The 24,861-nt window shown below is 34.1% G+C and overlaps 1 protein-coding gene and 1 non-coding gene across 12 annotated transcripts in view; one reads left to right on the top strand and one right to left on the bottom strand.

The window, feature by feature from the left end:
- ATXN8OS (ATXN8 opposite strand lncRNA) overlaps positions 1-9,858 on the bottom strand; it is a 64,318-nt gene extending 54,460 nt beyond the window's left edge. For 5 of the 10 annotated variants that reach the window (NR_185834.1, NR_185835.1, NR_185838.1 and 2 more), the window contains exons 1-2: positions 9,260-9,453; positions 1,981-2,138 (exon numbers count right to left, since the gene is read on the bottom strand). This is a non-coding gene — a non-coding RNA (ATXN8 opposite strand lncRNA). Of the gene's footprint in view, positions 1-1,980; positions 2,139-8,791; positions 9,454-9,537 lie in introns of those variants that run through there. The other 5 variants (NR_185836.1, NR_185837.1, NR_185840.1 and 2 more) reach the window with 2 other exon arrangements.
- Positions 8,827-24,861, top strand: part of KLHL1 (kelch like family member 1) — a 407,856-nt gene continuing 391,821 nt past the window's right edge. For both annotated transcript variants that reach the window (NM_001286725.2, NM_020866.3), the window contains exon 1: positions 8,827-10,076. In NM_001286725.2, coding sequence (NP_001273654.1) covers positions 9,580-10,076 — 497 coding nt within the window. In that variant the 5' untranslated portion in view covers positions 8,827-9,579. The remainder of the gene's footprint in view (positions 10,077-24,861) is intronic.

The following is a 24,861-nucleotide window of genomic DNA, read 5'->3' as shown; positions in this document are numbered from 1 at the left end:
CATATTCATCACCTAAAATGGTTACTTTTGTGTGTGCATATGTGTATGTGTGTGAGAGAGAAGGAGAGAGACAGGGAGAGATGAGAGCATCCAAATCTGCTGTCTTAGCAACTTTCTAGTGTAATAGAACATTGTTGACTATAGTCCTTATGCCGTAAATTAGGTATAAAACATATTCATGTTGCATAAGTACAAGTTTATACCCTCTTTTGTAAATCAGGGTAAAATATAAATTACTTTATCTTGTAGGAATATATAGCCGAGGAAGACCTGAACATGCTTTAGGTTTATGTGAGCATTCTGCATCAGTGAAGAACAGAAAAAAATAGGGAAATTAGTTATTTTAGGGGAGTAAAAGATAGACAAGACTATCTATAACATAGCTTCCCATCTAAAAATGAAAAGAAAAAGACCATGAACTTTAGGGAAAATCGATTCCCTATGAATGCCAGACCTGGCAACAATGTCTGGTCCACATTTACATCATCTCTTAGATTCTTTATTCTATAGTCTGTCCATTGTTTTTCTTTTCTCTACCTTGCTTTCTTCTGTTTATTCCTATCACATCTGCCAGAGTGATCTTAGAAAATGGAAGTCAGATGCTATCACTCCAATGCTCCAAATCCTCCAATGGCTTTCCATCTCATTCAGAATAAAAACTAATATTTGTGCACTGGCTTAAAAGATCCTGTAAGTGATCTGGTATCTTGTCTGCTGCCTCCTTGAACTCCAATAGAGCTCGTTTCGTTTCTGCTCACTCGCTTCTAGTACTTATTACCCCTTAAATACACCAAACTTTATCATGGCCCCAGGCCCTTGCTTTTCTATTCCTTCTGCTATGGCACTGTCGCTCATACACGAACAGTCCATGCTTTCACTTATTTTTGGACACAGGAGAAATACCACCTTATCAGTGGAGCTTAAGCACATAGATTACTTAAAGCTCAGCCCCCCTTTCCTTCAAAACTCTCTGTATTTCTTCCATGGTTTATTTATCTCCCTGGATGATGTCTCCATTATCTGATACACTTACTATTTGTTGAATTTTAGTTTCTATCTCTCACCTCAAGAATGTAAGGTGCTTGAGGGCACAGATTTTGGTCTACTTTTTTTTTTTTTTAACTGATACACCCCCATCACCATGAACATGGCTTGGCACAGAGTAAGTGCTCAATAAAAAATGTGTTTGAATAAATGAAAGGATGATAATGCAGAGACTGAATTTTTAATGTAACTAAAGCTTATGGATTTAAATGTGAAGATTTCTTTCTTGATTTAAAAATACAATTTTGAGAATTACAATAAAAGCACTTCCTAACTTGCACATTGCATTTCCTGTTTGATAAACTGAATATACATAATATATGCTTAATTTTTCTTGAGTATTTTATAGTACTTTAGAAATACAAATGAGGGCACCAAAATATTCTGAAACCACTATTTTTATAATTCTATTTGTTTTCATACTAAATAATTGTAGAACCACAGTTTCACAGTACTTTTTAAAAAAAGTATTATATGTTTCCTGACCTCTCCTCCACTATAAAGTGTTATTACTCTTATCCATTTCTCATTATGATAAACTCAAAACCATCCATTATTTACTGGTGTTTCATGCCATGATAGACAGTTAGACACTGTGAATTCAAAATTAAATAAGACATGTTCTTTGCCCTGCAGAACCATCCTAGTCTAGTAAGACCATCTTCATTTTCCAAAATGTGTTGCCCCCCCAAAAAAACCATTACTTTTGTTTCTATAGAGATATAGCCACCCATGTATCTACACAAATACACAAACATACATATAGACTTGAAAACAATACACACTGCTGTGGTCTGAACTTATTTCTTCACATTCTTCTGTTGGAAACTTAATCCCTAATGCCACAGTGTTGGGAAGTGAGCCTTTTGGGAGGTGTTTCTGTCATGAGGACTCCCTCCCTGTGAATGGATTAATGACATTATAAAATGGACTTACAGGAGTAGGTTCTGTCTCCTCTGCTCTTCTGCCATGTGGAGACACAGACTTTGTTCTCTCTCTTGCCCTTCTGCCTTCTACTATGTGTGTTCAGAGCAAGAAGATTCTCTTTAGACCAAATTCTCGTGCATTGGTCTTGAACTTCCCAGCCTCCAGAACTATGAGAGAATAAATTTATGTTATTTATAAATTACCCAGTATGTAGTGTTCTGTTATAGCAGCACAAAAGGGACTAACACACCCACACATGCACACACACACACACACACACGTTAGAAAGAGAGCTCAATTTTGAGAATACCAGGAGTCTCTCTTCTATTCAAGCAGAGCTCACACAGCTGAGGAAATGATATTGAGAATCTCTGCCTTTAATGAGTTTGTCATTTTTTTTAGTTCTCATACGTTAATTTTAAAATAGGAGAAAAAGTACGGCTTATGGAGGAGTATCTAAAACAATTAATATAAGAAAATATTAGTGGCCAGTTGATTCTACTTCTTTTCATATTAAGCCTGTTTTATAATGCCTACCTAAATAAGATTTGTATCAAGATAGAATGAAATCATTGTCTGGCACTTGGTAGGATGTCATAAAATAATAGTTCCTTTCTTAGTTTCTTGAGTCATTATCCAACTAAGAAGAAAATAATAATATGATGTATAAAATGTTTCATACATAACCGTTGAAGAAAATACTCTATGTTTAATCTGGGAATCTATCTAGTGTGAAGAAATTTAAAGAATGTAATATAATCTGAAAACTCATCATTCCTTTTGCCGCTATTATTTTACTTGTAATTTTGTCCTAGACATCACATGAAATCTTAAGTAGGCTATGATTTCAATAATTATATGTATGCTTTAATTTACAGATTTATCTGTTTTAATATTTTTTAGACTTTAGTATATTATTGTGTGAAGTCCATGTCATATTTCCTTTGAGCAATAAAGAAAGAGAATTTACATGTGCCATGATGGCCAGTGACTAGAGTTATACAGAAAGGGAGAGGTCACCACATTTGCAGGAGACAGTCTTCAAGGCAAAGGGTCAACTTGTTAGCTTCCCATGGGGCTGACAAGTAATATTCTTTGGGACTGGTGAGCCAAAAGCATCCTGACTGGGTGTAAAACTGAGGAAAATATATTAAGTGTCAAGTTGTGATTTTCAAATTAGATTTTGGAAGCCAATTTACTTCTAGTAATAATGTTTCAAAGTAATTTGATTTCTTAGAATAATCTTCCCAATACTCTGAATATATAATTTATTTGAAATAAAAATCACAGTACTATTTCTAAAACAGATTAACTAAAAAATGTTGTTTTGGGGTGTTATAACTTCACATATTCCTTACACATAAACTTGTGGGAAAAAGAGCATTTGAAAACTATTTGTAATTTACGTTACATCCATAATTAGAATTATGTTAAGACAAACTAGATCTTAGCTTTTAAAGCCATGCATTTTTGTCCTAGATTTTTAAAAGATCTGGTAATAATGCAGGTGAATGAAAATATAAAGTTTTGGCAAATATGTCTCAAGATGGAAAGAGAAATGTAGTAACCTGATTTGAGAAAATATTTTAAAGTCTCCAAAAACCCATGTCTCAAAAGAGACAACAGAAAATAAAATATCCACAAAGTTATACTATTTTATCTATATTTATATGAATATCTTACACTCCTATAACTTCCAAATCTGTATTTTATAAACTATAATCTTACTATTTTATTTTGATCATCCTGATTAAAGTTTCAGGGGACTCACCTTACCCCACAGTGATACAGGCAAATTTCAGTGCAATATACAAAATAATGAAATTACTTTTTTAATGCTAGGGAAATCTTAACCCTTTGTAAATAAGTATTAGTTAAGCAGTTTTCTTTTTTAAAGACTCTAGTGTTATACAAAATAGGATATCATGCCATCAAATGTGTTTTACTCATTAGAAAATATCCTTGAAATACTTATTAAATGTATATGTATATTACATTTATCTATATCTATATGTCTACATATATTTGTTTTCAATCTATAAATATTTTCATAAAAGGGATAGAAAGTGTTTTAAAAATCACATCATAGGCCAGGCGCTGTGGCTTATGCCTGTAATCCCAGCACTTTGGGAGGCCAAGATGTGAGGATCACAGCGTCAGGAGTTTGAGACCAACCTGGCCAATATGGTGAAACCCCGTCTCTACTAAAAATACGAAAATTAGCTGGGTGTGGTGGTGGTGCCTGTAGTCCCAGCTACTTGGGAGGCTGAGGCAAGAGAATCACTTGAATCCAGGAGGTGAAGGTTGCAGTGAGCAGGAATCACGCCACTGCACTCCAGCCTCGGCGACAGAGCGAGACTCCATCTCAAAAAAAAAAAAAAAAAAAATTATATATATAAAGTCCCTCAGCAGTGTGATTAACCAGACAGGACCCAGCACAAAAGTGAAAATAATGAATGTTCATAAACCACTGTCAATATTCTGCACAGAATTTTGGGAAATAAAAAGACACACAAATAAAACCTGGCTCATCATTAATAGAAATTCACTATTTTAATGCCATTTTGAATTCACATACTAATGAAATTAACTCAGCAATTTATATAAGAATTCCTCAACTATACAAATGTATTGCCAGATCTAAATCAAAAGGTCAAATAAACCAAGGAGGTTGAGTGGATTAAAATGGCCCCTGGGGATCAATGAATACCTACAAATGTTTATTAAGCAGTCACTTAATTGACACTTAAGTAAACTATAACTATACTGTAATGAAGATTAATAGACCATGAATGGTTATGTGTATTTGTTTTAAGAGGTAGGAACCCTTGATTATGCATGGGATAACTTAGCATTAGTGCTATATGATATTATGTTTCAATCATTTTGGGAAAAAAAGTCACTGCAAAACAATTTTTATTTAATGTATACATTAAAAGTTCTATATAATTATTTTAAATGGTATTCTCTAATTTTAAATAATATTTTATATTAATGTATGATATGGTTTGGCTCTGTGTCCCCACCCAAATCTCATGTCAAATTATAATCCCCGGTGCTAGAGTAGGATCCTAGTGTGAGGTGATGGAATCATAAGGGTGGGCGTCCATCTTTCTGTTCTCATGATAGAACTCTCATGAGATCTGGTTATTTGAAAGTGTGTGGCACCTTTACATTAGCTCTCTCTTCTTCCTGCTCCAGCCACGTAGGACGTGCCTGCTTCCCCTTTGCCTTCTGCCATGATTATAAGTTTCCTCAGGCCTCCTCCCCAGAAGCAGAAGGCTGTACACTCTGCAGAACTGTGAGCTGATTAAACTTATTTTCTTTATAAATTACCCAGTCTCAGGAATGTCTTTATAGCAGTGCAAAAATTGACTAATAAAATGTATATAAATACATCTTATTAAAATTAATCAAAGACAAAATCACAGGAGCCATTTTAAGGCATGAACTTTCAAATTTGAGCATAATTAGCCATTCAAATGTTTTTGTTGAGTATTATCATGTAGAAGAAATTTCTAGGCATTGCAGAAGGCCTGCCAAAAAGATACAAAAAAAATTGCTTTTCCTGGAAAAGTATACATTTAATTGTGCTTGTTTAGAAAATAGTCACTAAAAGTGAGAAGCTTTCAGTCTAGAAAATTCTTGAATTCTGCTATGGTATGAATTTTTGTCCCCTCCAAAATTCATGTTGAAATTTAATCTCTGTTGTGGAATATTGAGAGGGGGGCATTTAGGAGGTGATTGGGTCTCGAGGGCAGAACCTCAAGAATTAATGTATTAATGGGTTATCATGGAAGTGGGATTAGTGGCTTTATAAGAAAAGGAAGAGGGACCTGAGACAGCATGCTTAACCCCATTGCCATATGATGCCTGTGCAGCTCCAGGACTCTGCAGAGAGTCCCCACCAGGAAGAAGACCTTCACCAGATGCAGCCTCTAGAACTTAGACTTCTCAGCCTCCATAACTATAATAAATAAATTCCTTATCTTTATAAGTTACCCACCTTCAGGTTTTCTATTACAAGTAACAGATAATGGACTAAAACAGATCCAAAGCCAATTTTGCTTATTGTTTAAATATTTGAGTTGTAGAAACTTTCAGTGTGATACATTTTACACCCATGCTTGACTTAATACTTATGCGAAGAGTTTTGTATTTGTGTATTACAGTAAATACTTGAGCATTCTACAGATTTTCTGTATCCCGATTAACCTTTTTGCTTAGTGTTTCAGGAAACTATGGCAACCATATGGACATTCATTTGAAAGACTCTGATTGATTCAACTGACAGTTCAATTTAATTCAATAGTGTTAGAATAATTAAATAGTTTCTGTCTTTAAAACAAAGTGTGTTTGTTGGGATTGTTAAAAGTGGTCTTTATTATGTCAATGTCTTCTTGCCTATAAGCTTGGTTATCTTAAATCTTAATTTAATTGACTCACAAGTCAATTATTACTTATGGCTGGTTAAACAGTCCTCTTTTGTGGGTTCTTCCAGCAAGCTGCATGGGACCAATTCCTTCATATTTGTTACTAGTTTACATTGGACCTAAGTGATCAATCAAAGTTTTTTATTTTTGAATAATAGATAAATTAATTAGTGCAGTATTTTACAAAGTATATTTTTCAAGGATTTTATCTAATATGCCAGGTTAAGCCATAATATCCAACCAAATTATTTTCCTTCCTCCTTTCCTGTCTCTGTCTTTCCCTCTCTCGCAGTCTCTCCCTCTTTCTTTTTTCTCCTTCTCTTCTCGTCCTTCTCACTTTCCTCTCTTTCTTCCATTTTTTTTTCTTGTTTTATTTTCTCCTTCCTTTTCTACAACACTGTAGTATGGTAACAATCAAGTGAAAATAATATAATCATCTTTGTCAGTCATTTCAGTTTAACATAACTTCATGCGTAATTTAATTCTTAAATTCGAAATATTTTCATTTGATAATAAAGTTGAATTTTATTTAAATATATTCCCAAGAAGAGTGATTTTTTCAAACTTATATATTGTATTAAGATTGACAAATATAGAAAGGTACCTATATTTACATAATTGGCTCTGGCAGTGCTTTAAACATACTAAATGTTACTACAAGACTAACAAATAGGCTTTATTCACCATCTGCTAAATGTGACAATATTTTTAATTCATGTTCCTTTATACCACAAATTAATGTTATATCTCCTTTGGGTCATATAAAATATTGTCCTTTAAACATATAACTTTTAACTGTGGAATATTCTTATTAGTATTGCAGAGAAAAAGGAACTGCAAAATTAAATTTTAGAATAACAAATAAATTTTATATTACAGTTTGTGAATGGTGAATGAAAAATATAGATACAGAGACTTGACTTATGTTATTTTATATTATTTTAAATAAATCAAGTGAGATAATCCATGAAGCACTAATTTCTATATAAATTAATTACATGCACTTCAACTTTCAACATTATTTCTGATGGAAAGTTTCCTCTGTCCTGTTTGTGATGTGTAATTTCATAAACTATTTTCTTCCCTAAGGGAAATGCTTACTTGATTCCATTGTTGGATAAAAATGATCTGTCACCATTGTTGGCTTTAAAGGGTTTTTTGCTTAATAAACAAAAAACAAACAAAAAATCACTGAATACTGAGAGAAAAATCAAGGCACAAGGGATTGCAGTCCAGCTGTTGTGGCATAAATCAATATTTTAAAAGCACTATAGTGATTTTTATTCCCCTAAAAATAGGTCTTTTGTGCACTTAATTTCTTATTTTATTAAAGCGTCCAACTTTGCCTAAGGACTCCAAATTTAGCTTTGGTTTCTGGTTACGTTTACAGCTCAACCTTGGGGGTAACTGAGCAGTAGCCTAACTGCACTTCAGTGGTTGATTCCTATGCTCTGTTGGGGGTTACTGAAACTGTGAATTTCATGAATGGACAACAACCATATTCTTGGTTAAGTTAGGGAACACATTGCATTTCTGGTCCCTTTGCCTTCAACAAAGACTACTGGGTTCTATCTTAATGGCTCATTAAAGGAAAGGTTAAAACATTCCAAGTAGTCATGTACTGAAAGTGATCGCAATCCTCACCATTCTAAGTATAGATATAAGGGGAAAACACATCTTCTCCAAACGCCTATTTGCAAGATAGTAAGTAGCCTTCGGCTATTCTCATTTATTGCCTAAACTCTTCCATGCATAGTATACAATGATTTATGTACTAGAAGGTTATACCTTGAAATTCTCTTTTATCATTTTATTCCATTCTTGATTTACACTGATAACAGCTTTCATTCCGAGGCTACACACCAAATGCACTGATTTCGCAAAACCCGTCCCCCGTGTTCAGATGCCCATCTTCAAATTTCTACCGTACGCCTCTGGCCCCAGGAGTGAAGCAGTGCCTGGGTGCCTTAATAGCAGAATCACAATGTAAGTGTCAGGATGGTGGCATCGTCACATTTTGACGCCAGCATCCGTTTCTTCTGTGTCTCACTACAGAGAAACTAAGGCTAAAGGTTAAAAGACGCGGTTCATTAAATAATTCAAGCCATTAACCTGCAACCTGCAAACTGATGGCAGCCTATTAAGTTTACACTGCCATGATTCATGTGTGGTGTTTACTGATGCAAAAGCATAATGCCTGTTTTCTTTCCTTGTATTGCTACACAGTAATGTAGCGAGGAAGGAGGGTGAAAAAAGGTGACAAGACCCACGCAAGGGGACAATAAGAGCAGCAGTCTCACTTGCATAAAGAAGATTGAAGCCTTCCCTCCCTCCCTCCCTCCCTCCATCTCTCCGTATAGGCCCCAGTGCACATCTGCGTCACTTACAGGGGAGGAGGAGGCGCTGAGGCAGAGAGAAAATTGTACTGTGAGGACCTTGACAGCTTCACAGGCGGGCTTTTTCTTTTGCCTCCCTATATGCGCTAGAATATCTATTTTTCTCTTTTACAAACTGACTATATAAAACCACCTCTTCTGGCATTGCAGAAAGCAATTGACTTTCTCAGAGCCACCCGGCAGGCTATCGGGGCATCCTCGAAAAGGCCAGGGACAGGGGCGCAGGTGCACCAAGAGATCTGGCGAGGGGTACGCTTCCTCGAGACTTGGGGCTCTTTCTCTCTGCGCTCTCCAGACACTGAACTCTGAGCTGCAAGGACAAGAACGCCACCACCTTCCCTACTAAGGCTCTGCCACAAGCGCATCCCAGTGAGGTGTATCCAGCTGCAGCCGCCTCCGGAGCTTCGGAGCGCTCAGACCTCCCTCCCTCGCGCATCTCCAGCCTAAGGGTTGTCCCACCTCGCCATAACACGGGGCTCTCGCGCGGGCATCGAGGATTCTCAGCTTTTGGCGTCCCAGTCCTGCCTCTGCTCCTGCCTGGTGGTGTCCCCACGCCCAGGTCCTGCGGACCCGACCACGGCTGAAACGCGCGGCTTTGCCGTCTGCGCTCCAGCCTTCGCCTGGCAGAGCGCGCAGCCCACCTAGCGTCTTCTGGCTCTAGGGGTGCAGAGGGCGCATCCCGCCTCTTCCTCCGCCCCCGGGCCCCGCTGTCCTCCCCCACCTGCTGACCAGCCTACTCCTGCGTGAGCTGCCAGCCTTTTGCCTTCTGTGCGTAAAGCATGTCAGGCTCTGGGCGAAAAGACTTCGATGTGAAGCACATTCTGCGACTCCGCTGGAAACTCTTCAGCCACCCGTCTCCTTCCACCGGCGGCCCGGCGGGGGGAGGCTGCCTGCAACAGGACGGCAGTGGCAGCTTTGAGCACTGGGGACCCAGCCAGAGTCGCCTGCTCAAAAGCCAAGAGAGAAGCGGTGTGAGCACTTTCTGGAAGAAGCCTTCCTCCTCTTCCTCTTCATCGTCCTCCCCGTCCTCTTCCTCCTCTTCCTTCAATCCGCTGAATGGCACCCTGCTTCCAGTTGCCACGAGGCTGCAGCAAGGGGCTCCTGGGCAGGGCACTCAGCAGCCAGCCAGGACTCTCTTCTACGTGGAGTCACTAGAGGAGGAGGTGGTGCCAGGCATGGACTTTCCTGGACCACACGAAAAAGGGCTGGTTCTGCAAGAGCTCAAAGTGGAGCCAGACAACTCTAGCCAGGCAACAGGTGAAGGATGTGGACACAGGTACAGTAAGTCCCCACGGGGCTTCCAAGCATCTCTCAATTTCCACTCATTTCACCGCGTGTGCTCATGTGGCTACTAAGTCTAAAATGTTTCAGGTTGAAAATGTGGGTTAAGAGATGCCACCCTGGTTTTGATTACTCAAGTTCTAATTTCATTACAAGTTTGCTCATTAATTTCTATTGGTTCAGACACCTCACTTTTCTTTTTGGAAGTTTTCAAAGTTGTAGCCACCAATTGAACTTACATGCATTTTTGTAAGCCTTCAAGTGGAATAGTTCTCATATTCCTGAGATTATGGTGTTCTTCTGTCATCTACCGTCATTAAATTATATCAGTCGTTCCATTATCTGAAGATGAAATTTTGCTTTACACATCATCAGAATGCATCTCATATATTGGCCTAGTAACTGACTTAGCATATTATCTAAGGTCCCTGTGGTTTGAATCTATTCCAGGAGTAATGAGGTGGACAAAATGAGGCCACTGGACAGCAACATTATTTTACCTCTCTTTTTGCTCCTGAAATGCAGTCGTCTTATTCTCTGTCCCAACTTCTCTTCTGGTCCTTTTACTTTGTGTTCACTCTTGCCTTGTTCAGAGTAAGTCTTTGAGTTAAACTGTCGTGGAGTCCCTTTGCATTTAGCTGTTGTGATTTGTTGGCTCAGTATTGAAATTTTGTCTCCTTGGTAAACAGCTCAATATTTATTTCTAGTTTATTTCAAATATTATGCTTCTTTGTGTAGAGTTCTGCTACTTTAAAGACTTACAGAAAATCCTTCATAGACATAAAACTCCCAAGTTTTACATTTTGAGAGAATTGACTCATTACTATTCTAAACCACATCATTACTGGTTTTGGAATATAGTCAGGATATGAAATGATTTGCATTTAGATTCATGTGATATCAGAATACATTATTAAAGAAGAACTACAGGAGAAATATAGGAAAATGATAATGTATATATTAAGAAATTTTAATTACTACACAGTAACAAATTAGTAACAGAAGCATCTTTTTTAGTCTTTTGGTTGATTGAATCAGTTTCTTATAAATTTGATTAAGTACCAAAAAGAATAGATAAAATTATATATGTATAACCTATATGTGTATATATGTGTGTGTATGTATATATGTGCTCCCTAATTATGCTGACATATGTGGTTATAGATTTAAAAATATCCTTAAAAATTTTCAATTATATACATTATATATATTTTTTAATTTTAATTTTCAGAGATTGAACATATTCTAATGTTATATTAAGACATGTACTATAATGTAAGATAATTTTAATGAGGGAGAAGTATAATCTGGAATTATCAATTGTGTCAATGGTTTTTCCATATATAGGAGACCTAAATATAAGTTTATCTATCATTCCATTAAGTGAAATATTTTAGGAAAAAGAATTATAACGTTAGGTACTATGAATACTATGAAGTTATAAAATGTTATTAAAAGTTATTTAATATGCTAGTTACCTATAATTTTATAATTTAAAAAATCAAATGTACTGAAATTTTTATACCCTTTTGTTGAGTAAATATAAACACTTTTTGGGAGGAATTATCCAGAAACATTAAGCAATTCACCTTATATATTCAAAAGGAAACTAGGTTAAGTATTTATCTGTTACTATTTTATTAAAACTGATAGTTTTGAGACTCTAACAGCTCAGGAAGAAATTTAAACATTATGTGTGTTTGTCAATTTTTAAATTCTTTGAATAAGCTCCTAGAAATATTAATGTTTCATATTTTCTTAAAGTTTACTTTATACCAAATACATTTTAAAATAAGGCATATTCAGCATTAGTAGTTTATAAAGACTTTTATGTAATTTGGAGTTTTGAAAACATTAATGGAGTAGTGACTTAAGAAATTATAATAAATTAAAACTAATAACAGAACAAACAGTTTAGTTAGGGAAAAAACACCAGACTTAACAAGTTTCTTACTTTTGAAAATAGTTTATTATTTTTATTCACAAAGAGTTGTGAGTGATAAGAATTCCTAAATTAACCCATCTACCAACCAAAATCATCTTTATTGTTGGAATCAAATTATCTTATGAGATTAGGCATGTGTAAACTATTGAAAATCAGGTCCAATTTTATTTTTAGTCTAGTTTCTTACTAGACAAATCAGCTAGCACTGTATGTATTTGATGGATTTATATGTTCTTAAATTTTCATAGAGAATTGGTTCTCTGCTCATGATTGATTGAAAACCACACTAGTAAAACTAGCAATTAATCATTATCAGTATATAATATTTTAATATGCAGTAAAAGTAGGAGTCACTGCCCAGAAAAGACAGCATTTCCAAAGTAAAATACTGAATGGAAATTTTATTATGCTTTAGAAATGTATGCAAAATCATGAGTAATGTGGATTTAATTTTTTTCTGTGACAGCACATCCAGAAAAGCTACATGGTGTTTATGATGATCAGTGACTACATAAACTATATGAATGCTGTATGACAATTTTTATCACTTAGGTCATTATCATATCACCAAACAATGATGTCATATTTAATAATGAGCATTGTATTTTACAAATTCTGACTTTTCTGCTAAATTAATCCTTACATATAAAACATGAGTTGGCCCTTTCTCTGACATTATCTTTATTCATTTTATTGATCTTCTCTTTATTCATTTAGTTTTATACTAGTTAGAACATTGCTTTAGACAAGTATGACTAGCTCAGTTGAGTAAACCGGTTAGAACAGCAGATGGAGGACATTTGGGGAAAGTTGCTCACAATCTCAGAATTCTGGAAAGGTCAAATTATCATAGACTTGAAACATAAAGGTAGTGGGAAATATTGTGGTAAACCAATTTAGGGCCAAAACCCAACCTTTTTCTTACCTTACTAAATTAAATGCTCACTACCTGCATCCCACCCTAAATAAATCTCAGTGCTCTACTACCTTGACCACATAAACAATACTTTTCCTATAATAGTTCACTGGCCTATTAATCATTAATTTCTCTACTTCCCTGTCTAAATATACATTAGAAAGTATATGATTTCCTGGATATTCAGATAACCATATATTTTTGTTGTGGATATTTCTGCCCAAGATTCCATATGTAGTAAACTAAAACACCAAAGAGCAATATTTATATTCTTGCATTTTATAGTGATGTGAGTGGGAGAAGACATGTCATGTTTTAACTGCTTGCTTTTTTAGATTCTGAATTCTTACAGAGTGCAGTCATTTTATCCCATGGTTTTAGCTACCATCCATAAACTGTCTTTACAGATTTGCATCTCTAAATCTAGCCCTCCCCTCTCCTGAACTGTAGTCTTACATAGCCACCTCTCTTCTTGACCTCTTTGATAGATGTCATAGAGTCCAGTCAAATATAACATGTACAAAATTGAGCTTATAATTCCTATTCTGTCTTGCTCAATTTCCTTCTACTGTATTTCAGAGAATAGCTTTCTACGAATTAGTTTGTGCAAGCCAGAATTCCAGGGTCACATTGGTCAATATCTTCTTTCCCCTCAATTTCACTATTCTTTCAAGAATTGCTGCTTTTGCTTAGAAAATCTTTCCTATGCATGTCCCACATCTCTTCACAGCCATTGTCTGCGCCTAATCTAAGCTACGATCTTCTTTCAACTCTAGTTTTGCAACCTCCATCTCTTATCACCTCCCCTCATTATCTTTGCCTCCTCAAGTCCATTCTCTACACTGAAGTCAATAAAAATTAAGAATGGTGAAATATTTTTCCACATCCCTCACTCCCTCATTCTCCTTTTTCCCCACCAAAGGACTTCCAACACTCGCTGATTACAGTTTATACTATGGACGCCAACTGATGACAATCTGTACCATGGATTACCTGGTTCTGAATGCTCTGTCCTTTGTCTGCTATGTAGGCCATTCACTTACCAACCTTCCCCTTACCCTCTGTTTTCCAGACTTAATATCCTTCCCTATAATTTTTCACTGCCTCTGGAACTCACAAAGTTGTTTTCCTTCTTTGCATAGAGACTATCCTTTCCTTAACTGCTCCCTTCCTGAGTTCATCCCTATTCATCACAGAGATGTCATGCATAAACGTGCTGTACCTTTCCCAGGAAAGGAGTTCTTCATCACCGAAACAAATTCATATCCTGTGTTTTGTCTTCTTAGAATAACTGTTCTCTACTTTTTAAAAAAATTCTTATTGAAGCTTGTAACCATATATGAATATCTGTGTTGATTTTGTTTGTCTGTAAGTGAATTTCCAAGTGGAGAGGAGTATGTCTGTTTTACTCATCATTCTACCCTTACCATGGAGCAGGTAGTTACTCAATAAATACTGTCAAATGAATAAATATTTGATATAATCATATTTAGTGGCATTGATTAAAAACTTGCTTTTTGCCAGTTAGCATGTTGAATATTTATATGCGTAAGTTAAAATTAATAACATCTTATAATCCTGCTACATTTATGTATCCCTCTGGTATAATGATTACATAGATAAGAAGACTGAAATATAAAGAGGGTAATTAATTTTCCTAGAATCACAGACTTGTTATTAATAAGGCTGGACTTTAACCCGTTGTATCTGACTCCAGATACCATATTGGCCATTTTGCCCAATCTTATTTCTCTATGCTTAGACAAACAAACAGAACAAAAGAAAAGAGGCAGCATCTGAGGTTATGGAGAAATAATTTTCTTTTTCCCTTGGTGGAGATTGTGTTTGAATGTTTAAATAGACTTCTTAAATTGACAGTGATGGAAAAATTCTAGATAAGCCTTAGTCAAAGATGACTTCTTAGCCCAAGTTAGAAAACACCTTATTATTTTCTAAATTATAGTTCATTCAGTGTATTTTATTTTATAATTAATAAACAATATGCAAATATAACCTAGAAATGGAAAGAAATAATTATTTTGGAGACCAAATTAGGGCTTTAGGATAGAAAATCTGCTTATGAATATTGGAACTATTGATAAAGTATTGTCACTGAAAGAGAGCACACACCATTAAAAATCTCATGGAGATTAGTGGGACATGTACCAGGCACTTGTTTAAAACAATAATCATCTCTGCCTCAGTCAAGGGGATAACCAACTTTGAAAATGATAAAGGACTACTTTCTCAGGAACGTGGTTCTCAAACTATACTTCTATGAAACTAAAGTGAAATAATATTCATCTTCTTTACCACCCCAAATTTTAGAGTAAAAAATAATATAATGGAACAAACTTACTCAATTTTACTTTGTTTTTTTTTTTTTGCTACTTTATCCTAGGTTTCTGTGTTACATAGTTTACTATTATTTAAACCAAAACTAGCAAAAATAATACCTTATTTGGGGAAAGCTTACTTTGTCTATGTTAGGATGAATTTATAAACGTTACATGGTGTTCTACCCAGGAGTCCACAATATCTAGGCACCCTTCTCTCTGAGCAAGTGTGCTTTAGAGAAACTAAAACAATCGTAAGAAATAGGGCTGTTGGCCAGGTGTGGTGGCTCACGCCTGTAATCCCAGCACTTTGGGAGGCCAAGGTGGGTGGATCGCCTGAGGTCAGGAGTTCGAGACCAGCCTGGCCAACATGGTGAAACCCCATCTCTACTAAAAATACAAAAATTAGCCAAGCGTGGTGGCAAGTGCCTGTAATCCCAGCTCCTTGGGAGGCTGAGGCAGGATAATTGCTTGAACCCTGGAGGCGGATGTTACAGTAAGCCGAGATCGCGCCACTGCACTCCAGCCTGGGGGACAAGAGCGAGACTTCGTCTTAAAAAAAAATTATATATATATACGGCTATTGAATTGGATTTTCAGGTACCCAAAACTCCAGAACTACTTGTAAGAAAGGTAGTATAAACTGTAGTTTATACTACGATGTACTTATATATAAATACAAGATGCAATAGGAATTTTTAAATTACAACAATGAAACATGCTAGTTGAAGGACAATATTGTATTTTTCTTCTATAAATATTTAATGAATATTTTGTAAACTGTATGATTAGCCTTTCTATGGTACTATTTCAAATTGTTTAGAAAAATAAAGAAAGCCTACATATGTAATCAAAATTGGTATCTGGCTAACATAGAATATAATATTAATCAGATATTTGTGTTTGTTGGTTTCTTTTTACAAGTCTCCAAAGATAATTTATGTATCCTCAGGTATTATGCTTCTCATGTCTACATGTTAAGTCAAATTTTGGTTATTTTTGACCAAGAACACTTATAGAATATACAGAAAACTGTTATCTGTAGCATATGTTGGAATTAAATCAAGTTTCTGAGCATAAAAACGGGCAGCATTTTAATCAGAGTCTCAATGTCATGACCAATACATCACATTATTGATTTTATTGTACCATCTAAAATAATTTTAGGTATGTTTGTGGTAGTTGTAAAAAACAAATGGTCTGAAGTTTTCATATTGATTTAGGTCAGATAAGGATTAGTTTACTTTTCTTCATTTAAGATAGTTATTTAAAACTTTAAAGAAAAGATCTGATGAAGATACAGATAATCTGAGCAAAATTAAAGATGGTTTTGAAGATCTTGAAATATAAATATAAGCAAAAATCCTGTTGCACTAAAAAGGCTTGATGCCTGTAATTCCAGCACTTTGGGAGGCCAAGGTTGGTGGATCGTGAGGTCAAGAGTTCAAGACCAGCCTGGCCAACTTAGTGAAACCCCGTCTCTACTAAAAATACAAAACTTTTTATTTGAATACAAGTTTGTCATATCTGTAAAAATGAAGAAATAAAACTTTTTGCAGATACAATTGTCTATAAAAAAATTGATGAAATCGACAAAAAAATGTAGCAAGCTTAGCAACGTGGCAGGATACAGAATAAACATACAAAATTCAATTGTATTTCTATATATTAACAATGAATAATTGGGCATTTAATTGTAAAGATGATACATGTTATAATATTAATAAATTATGAAATAATAAAAATGAGAAAAGATGTGAAAGACTCATACACTGAAAGACCATGCTGAGAAGAAAGAGCCACATAATGAAGAAATATGAATATATAATATTCATAGATCAGAAGACTCACTACTAATGTGGTTAATTCTTCTCCAGTTGATCTATAAAATGAACATATCACTGAAGAAAATCTTTGCATGCTTTTTTGTTACAAATTGATGAGTTTATTCTAAAAATTTACATAAAAATTCAAAGGACCTAGAATAAACAAAATAATTTTTTGAAAAATTAAAAAATTTGGGAACTAACATTCCTGATTTCCAGACTTGTTATGAAGCTACATTAATCAAGATAGTGCTATATAAGTATAAGAATACATAAATAGATTAAGAATGAATAAATAAATTTGTTAATAGTCATATAATGAAATACTATTCTGCCATATAAAAAATTTAACAACTTTTTAATTAAACCTTAGTTTAACGAAAGCTGTTCATTAGTTTAATGTTTAAACTAATGTTTAATCTTAGTTTAATTAACAACTTTCATTAAACTACGATTAAATGAAAAAATGTTATTATGGGACAAAAAGCTTATTGTATGGTGTATTTCTTTTTAATGTTTATTATAAATCACATAAACTTATCTATTGTATTTATTATCCTTACTTTGCATAAAAATGTAAATCTCACTTGCCTTGAATCATATGTTGGGGCCAAATACTTCTTGAGTTTGTTATATGGCCCAAGGAGTCATCCATTATACTTACTTTACAGAATTTGATGCTGAAATATGTACATTGAGTCTTGTTGCCTTCTTCTTGATAGGAGATGAGAAAAAGGGAAGTCAAAATACTTTTCTAGTAAGCATCTCTGCACAGAAGGCTTCACTGTGTAACCATAGGAAACTTTTTTCTTTTATCTTCATTGCCAATACTAGATGAACAATGGGAAGTATGAATACTGCTCATAGGCTTTACATTAATGGGGCAGAATTTTACAATGTAAATTCTGTGATGGAGGGAAGAGAATGAGTGAATTTTTACTTATATAGAACGTCTTGAATAATAGTAGTGTTCACTGTATAGTGCAATTTACAAAAATTTGTATTATTAAATTGTAAAACTTAAAAAACTTCTCATATGTGTTTATATCAGAGAGAATAGTGTAAGTAAAATTCCATATTTTTAATATTTATTACCAGAAAATTATAAGACCGTTTTCTGTGTTCTTGACATGTTACACTGAACTTTATTGCTATTATTTTTTGAGTAAGAAGCTAAAAGTTACAAAAAAAGTAAATTTATTAAATATTGACTAAGTATAAAGCATGTAATCCATCTCAAAATTAGATATACCATCTATAGGTGTCCTAAAAAATGGAAAATTTGCCATCTAGTGGTTGTTTATTCACATTGAAGCTACATGGTGCCTTGAAAAAAATGTAAGAAGAGATGATCAGCAATTAAAACTATAATATAATACAGCAGGTATATAGGAACATTAAGATATCCTATGATAGTAAAAAATGCTCTGTGAAATCCTTTAATTCCATTTCTTATATCCAATTTTCACTACACTAAACATTAAACAGCTCCACCTCTTGATGACAATTTAAAAGGGCATCTCTGGAAGCTATTTAATTGAATATACTTTATTAATAATTACTAAATGTCCTGCCATTTCATGGAACTTTTGAAACATACTTCAAATAAGTCTTTAATCCTCAACTTTTCAAATATTATCAATATTTACTTATTTTTTTAAATTGAAAGATTTAAGAGTGTCTCATAAATTGTAGTAAATTTCAATGACTTACTATCATGCATTAGTATAATGTAAAAGTATAGATTTAAAATGGTACTACCTGTGTTTCAAATAAATTTTTGCTGTTTTCAAAAGAATATACATGCAAATTACACAGGGAACATTTATGGAATCTAGATAATTAGCAAAAATAAAAGCAAAAATAGATGTGACACTCTTATAGCTTTTCTAAATTACTCTAAGTTTATGTCTACATGAAGAACATGAGGTCACCAAGTCAGCCTTACTTACCTCACCTGAATATTTATTGAGATAATCATAGAAGAGTATCTGAAAACACTTCGAGAGTTTAAAACATCATACCATAACAGTTGAGCTAGCAATGTCATAGTATGATCTATAATACCAGAGTTAATGAAACTAGATAGAAAATGCTTGCAGCATGTGACAAGCCTCCATTAGACAGAGCTTTATCTAGGCTTTAATATTTTCAAGTTTAGTTAGCTAGTAAATAGTTACATACAGCATCATTATTCTGACATGTAACCTTGCAACTAATATTATTTAATAATCTGACAATATTTTTCACAATGATACCTAGCCTATTAAAATTGAAAAAAAAAAAACAGAAAGGAAATCAAACACTAGGCCCTCTTTAAACTAATTCTCTGAATGTTTTTTGAATTTTTAAGTACAATTTTTGAAGAACAGTATCAGGGGAACTCTTCCGAGTTTTTACATCACCAACATGTTTGAAAGGCTAATTCCATCTTAAGGAGACCACCTTGCCTTATAGTTTGCAATTGTGATAGTAAAATACATATAGACTGTGAGACTTAAAGAAAAGCTTATTTCTGAACAGAACTAAAAAAGAAAATTTATGTCTGCTTATACTCTGAATAAAACTCAAGAAAGTATAGATTCTACATAAAGAGGTCCAAGATTACATTGCAGGCTGAGACGAAAAGGGGTGCTGGATGAGACACAACTAGACTATTCTTATTTAGCTAATTGTTGCTTAAATAATTCAAATTAAGTTTTACCTTCATTCAGATTAGGTGATGTTAGACAGCTGGTTCTTTTCTTTACTGTTTATTACAGAAGAGATTCTAAACTGAAAACCTGCTAAACACATATTTCTCCTACCTTGCACATGAAGACAAATTATACTGCTCAAAGAAAAGAAGTTTTCCTCTGCTTTGAGGATTTGTTTTTGTTGTTTCAGTTTTATTTATTTTAAAATCTATTCTTGATATAGCAAATGCCTTATAGGACTCACATTTGTAAGATTTTTCTTGTTAAGTACAAACTCTTGCCAACTCTCAAAATGGAATGGTTGCAAAATGTCATGTTAAGATTTTTACTAAAGATAGTGGGGGGAAGTTCTCAAAGTCCCATAATGTATGCTAATTACCCCAGAACTGAGCCATGATGTTGGATGTGCCTTTAAAGTTCCAACTCACTTAAGTATTTTTCCTCCAATAACCTCCTTTACATTGGATCATGGATTCATTTTACACCGCATTTGGAGCAGAATCTAATCTAGCTTCAAATCACCTTAGAGTCAGCTATGAGCTGTGGAATCTAGATTATACTCTTGATGTTCTTTCTAGGAGCCTTCTGTTGGCGATTTCTTCCTTTTTTCTTGCTACTATCTTTTGCTGAGAAGATTCCCTCTATGCTTTCCCTGCAATAGGAGGTAGCCAGCCATGTTGTGATTTCTCTCCTTTAAGACTATCTGGAAACAATCACAGAATAGTGTCATATTTTTAAGGGATATTACTTCTGGCAGCAAAAAGAAAAAAAGAGAAAATGACATGATATTTTTGAAAAGTCAAAAATTGCTAAGATTTCTTTAAAAAAAAAACAGCTAACTTTATAAAATATTCCTGACAAGCTCAAAGAACTCGATAGGAAAAAATAAAAGACAAGTAAAACAAACTTCTGCTGCCAGAAGTAATATTAATAATCAAATTAATCTAACTTAAAATGGGCAAAGATATCAATAGACATTTTCAAAAGAAGACATACAAGTGGCCAAAAGGTATATGTAAAAATGCTCACCATCATTAATCATCAGAGAAATATAAATCAAAGCTATAATGAGATATAATCTCACCCCAGTTAAAGTGACATTTATTAAAGAGACAGGAAATAGGGGATGCTGGTGAGGATGCAGAGAAAGGGGAGCCCTCATATGCTGTTTGTGGGAATGTAAATTAGTACAACCACTTTGAAGAACAGTATGGAGGTTCCTCAGAAAACTAAAAATAGAACTACCATATAATCCAGCAATCCCTCTACTGGGTATATATCCAAAAGGAAGGAAAGCAGTTTATTGTAGAAACATCTGCTCTCCTGTGTTTATTGCAGCACAATTAACAATAGCTAAAATATGGAATCACCCTAAGTGTTGATCACTGGACAAATGGATAAAAAATATGGTACATATATGCAATAAAGCATTATTTGGTTATAAAAACGAATGAAATCATGTTAATTGCAACAACATGGGTGGAACTGGATGGCCTTATGTTAGGTGAAATAAGCCAGACACAGAAAGACAAATATTGTTTGTTCTCACTCATATCTGGGAACTAAAAAAAAATGAACTCATGGAGATAGAGTGTATAATGATGGTTACCAGCATCTGGAAAGAGTATTAGCGAGTGTGGTGGGGGGGGTGGAGGGAGAAGGGACAGTTATTCAATACAAAAATACAGTTAGATAGAAGGAATAAGATGCTGTGTTAAATAGCACAATGGGATGACTATAGTTAACAATAATTTATTGTCCTCTCAAAATAACTAAAAGAGTGGAATTGGAATGTTTCTAACACAAATAAATGATAAATGCTTAATGTAATGAATATCTCAATTACCCTGATTTGATCATTACATATTATATGCTTGTATTAAAGTATCATATGTACCTCATAAATATGTACAACTGTCATGTATCCATAACAATTTAAAATTAAAAACTTAAATATTCTTGCCAGACTGACTTCATGGGCAAGCAATTGGCCCAGTCTCACTGCCAGGGACATAGATGAATCCCAGACTTAGTTTAATCCTCTAGTGTGTCATTTTTGAAACTCTTAATGACATTAAATAAGATTCCATGTAATTTTATTTTCCAATAGGTTCCACAATTATGTAGTCAATTCCTGATAGTCCTAAGGATCTAAATAGAACAATCTCTCTCTTTCTTGCATATCATTATATTTCCTCTTGAAAACTCTGCCAATCACTGTAAAACATTTTATTCTGGAAGTGGTGCAAAAGCCTCTTTTATAGAGGGTCTCAAAATCCCATGCCTTTCCCAAATTTCACTTAGATCTATAACCGATACCATTCATTATGCTGGGTAGATCAATGACTGAAGCAATACCCAGTATTTGGAGCAGAAATTGTGCTTTCAATCACTCTTCAGACTGTATAAATCAATTCTACGTTGGAGGAGCTACAACAGTAGCTGTAAAAAGAGAGATACCCAGGCTCAGACATAAGGAAGAAACTACTTTTTGGTAGCAATGGGGACTGGGTATAGAAGATAGCCATTGGTATTTATTCTACTGGCTACTTTCTCACTTCTCTTGTCATTAATTTCCTTCACTAGCTTAGGTTTTAGGCAAGTTGAAAGACAGGGATGATTCTTATCCTATCTGGAGAGGATGAGAGGAAACACAGGTAGTTAGAAAAAGGCTGATAGTGATGGAATTGCAATGGAGTGGCAGTGGAAGATGTGATGGGTATCAATAGAATGTCTTAGAAACACTTGGCCGGCTAAGGAAGCCACATTGAAATTGCCACAAAAGCATTGAAGTTCCGTAATCTTCTCCTAAGTAAATCAAAGCCCATCCAAAGTAAAATGGCTCCTCTTGCTTTACTTGGAGGTATGCAATGTGGTGGTTTACAGATTAATTCTGTGCTCTTCTAAGTATAATCTACCCAAAAGCTTACCAACTTGAAAGAATAGGAATTTTTTATTTTAGTCTACGTGAGACTACATAATTTTATGAGACACACTTTTTGCTTTTTCCCAAGCAGCTTTCCTTTTCAAAATTCAATCCAGTCATCAATGATTGAGCCAATATATTCATATATATATATATATAAAGATGATTGCATTGTATTTGTTTCATGTGAATTTTATTTTTTAATTTTAATTTTTATCTTGTTTCTGAGAGTTGGGTTCTCACTCTGTCATGCAGCTGGAGTGCAGTGGTGTGATCCTAGCTCACTGCAGCCTCGAACTCCTGAGCTCAAGTTATCCGCCCACCTCAGCCGAGTAGCTGCGACTACAGGTGCATGCTGCCACATCTGGCTTACATAAAGTTTAGATGTTTCTGGATGCTTTAAGACTAACTCTTCACCTCTGATAAGAGGGTACTTTTCACATAATATCTTGTTTGAAGAATCTAACTTTCTTGTGTTAAAAAGAACTACTGGTAAGTTAAAGCAATCTTAGTTTTCATGATTGGTTAAATTAAACATAGCCCTTTACCGTATACTACTCTTAGTAAATATATAATTTCATAAATATATATTATCCTAAAATGATATCATCATGAAATTCTTACTTGGTTAATTATTCAAACAAGTTAATTAACTTTATATGCATATGATCTTGATAAAGTGTATAATAAGACAGTTCACAGTAAAACTGCAGTTCTAATTGCCAAATGGATTTAAAACTAAGGTTCATACTCCATTTCTCAATCTCCTGGAGATGAGCTATCCATCTGTGGCACAGGTCTTTACATATGATGTAGTTGGTTCAAAATACCATGAGAAAACAAAGTCATAAAATACTTTGTCAAAACAAATGTCAAATACAAACAAATTTAGAGAAAAAAATTATTTGCCAAATTAAGTAATATCCCCCCTTATACACAATTTATGTGTCAAAATATTTCTATAAATATATTTTTCTTATGATTAGGAAGATATTTCAAGACATCAAGAGAAAGATAATGGAAAAATAGAATATGATATTTTTTCTTTAAAGTGCTTAGGAATTACATAGATTTTGTTACTACTATTACTATTAAAAATGTATTACTCTTTTATTACTATTTTATTACTACTATTTATTTTCTCTATCTCTAACTAAGAGTCTTTGGTTACCTAAAAGTACTTCAGAGATGCCCCATCTGGTTTGGTCTTTGAAGGTATGTATCAGAGGAGGTACGAAAACTTGCAGATGGGCATCTTGGAGAAAGACAAAGTCCACTCCACTATGATGATGGGTTCTTGATTTTCCTATTTCCCTCACTTCATCTTGCCTTTATTGCCTTCCCCTTTTCTCTCTTCCCTTGTCCTCAAATCGTATTTTCACCTCTTCTAAGATATTCAATTCTAGACAATCACATAATTACATAATAGCGCATCATATAGCTTATTTTCATGTTTTAAGGTTAAATAATTATAAATGCTGAAATAAAAGTGGAAGTCATTAATGTTATTCAATGTCTTTAAAAATAAAATCATAATTTATTATTTAAAATTAAATTTTGTTTAAAATTTATTTATACATTTTGGATATAAAGTTTCATAAGTATTATTCTACATTAAAAATTATCCTGTGATGATGCAATTATTTCATGGCTGCGCTGTTCAATACTGTAGATTCTAGCTGTGAGTGATCATCAAGCACTGAAAGCGTGGCTACTCCTCTATTTGTTTAATTTTAAATATTCTAAATATAAATGAAAACAACCACATGTAGACAGTTGCAACCATGTTTCACAATCACACTCCTATACTGTAAAACATGAGCAATTTCTCTTTGTTTTTAGTATAACATCATGATCAAATTAAGAAAGTAATAACTTAGCTCATAAAACTAATTACAGGTATGAATGTAAAGTTTTATATGTATATATAATCCATTGAATGCTTTACATTCTACGAATCATTATAATATCAAGTGCTATTTTTCATTAATTAAACTTTGTATCTAATAATATAAAAGCTGTGTGCTATAAAGTATAAGCAAAAATATTACTTTTGTTGTGAAATACATGCTTTTAACTTTATTGCTATACCTAAGCAAAGACGACAGAGTTTAATATATTATTTTAAAGAGAGA

Source organism: Homo sapiens, chromosome 13, assembly GCF_000001405.40.
Source record: "Homo sapiens chromosome 13, GRCh38.p14 Primary Assembly".
In the NCBI taxonomy this organism is placed as follows: Eukaryota; Metazoa; Chordata; class Mammalia; order Primates; family Hominidae; genus Homo; species Homo sapiens.
This window is presented reverse-complemented; position numbering and strand designations above follow the sequence as displayed.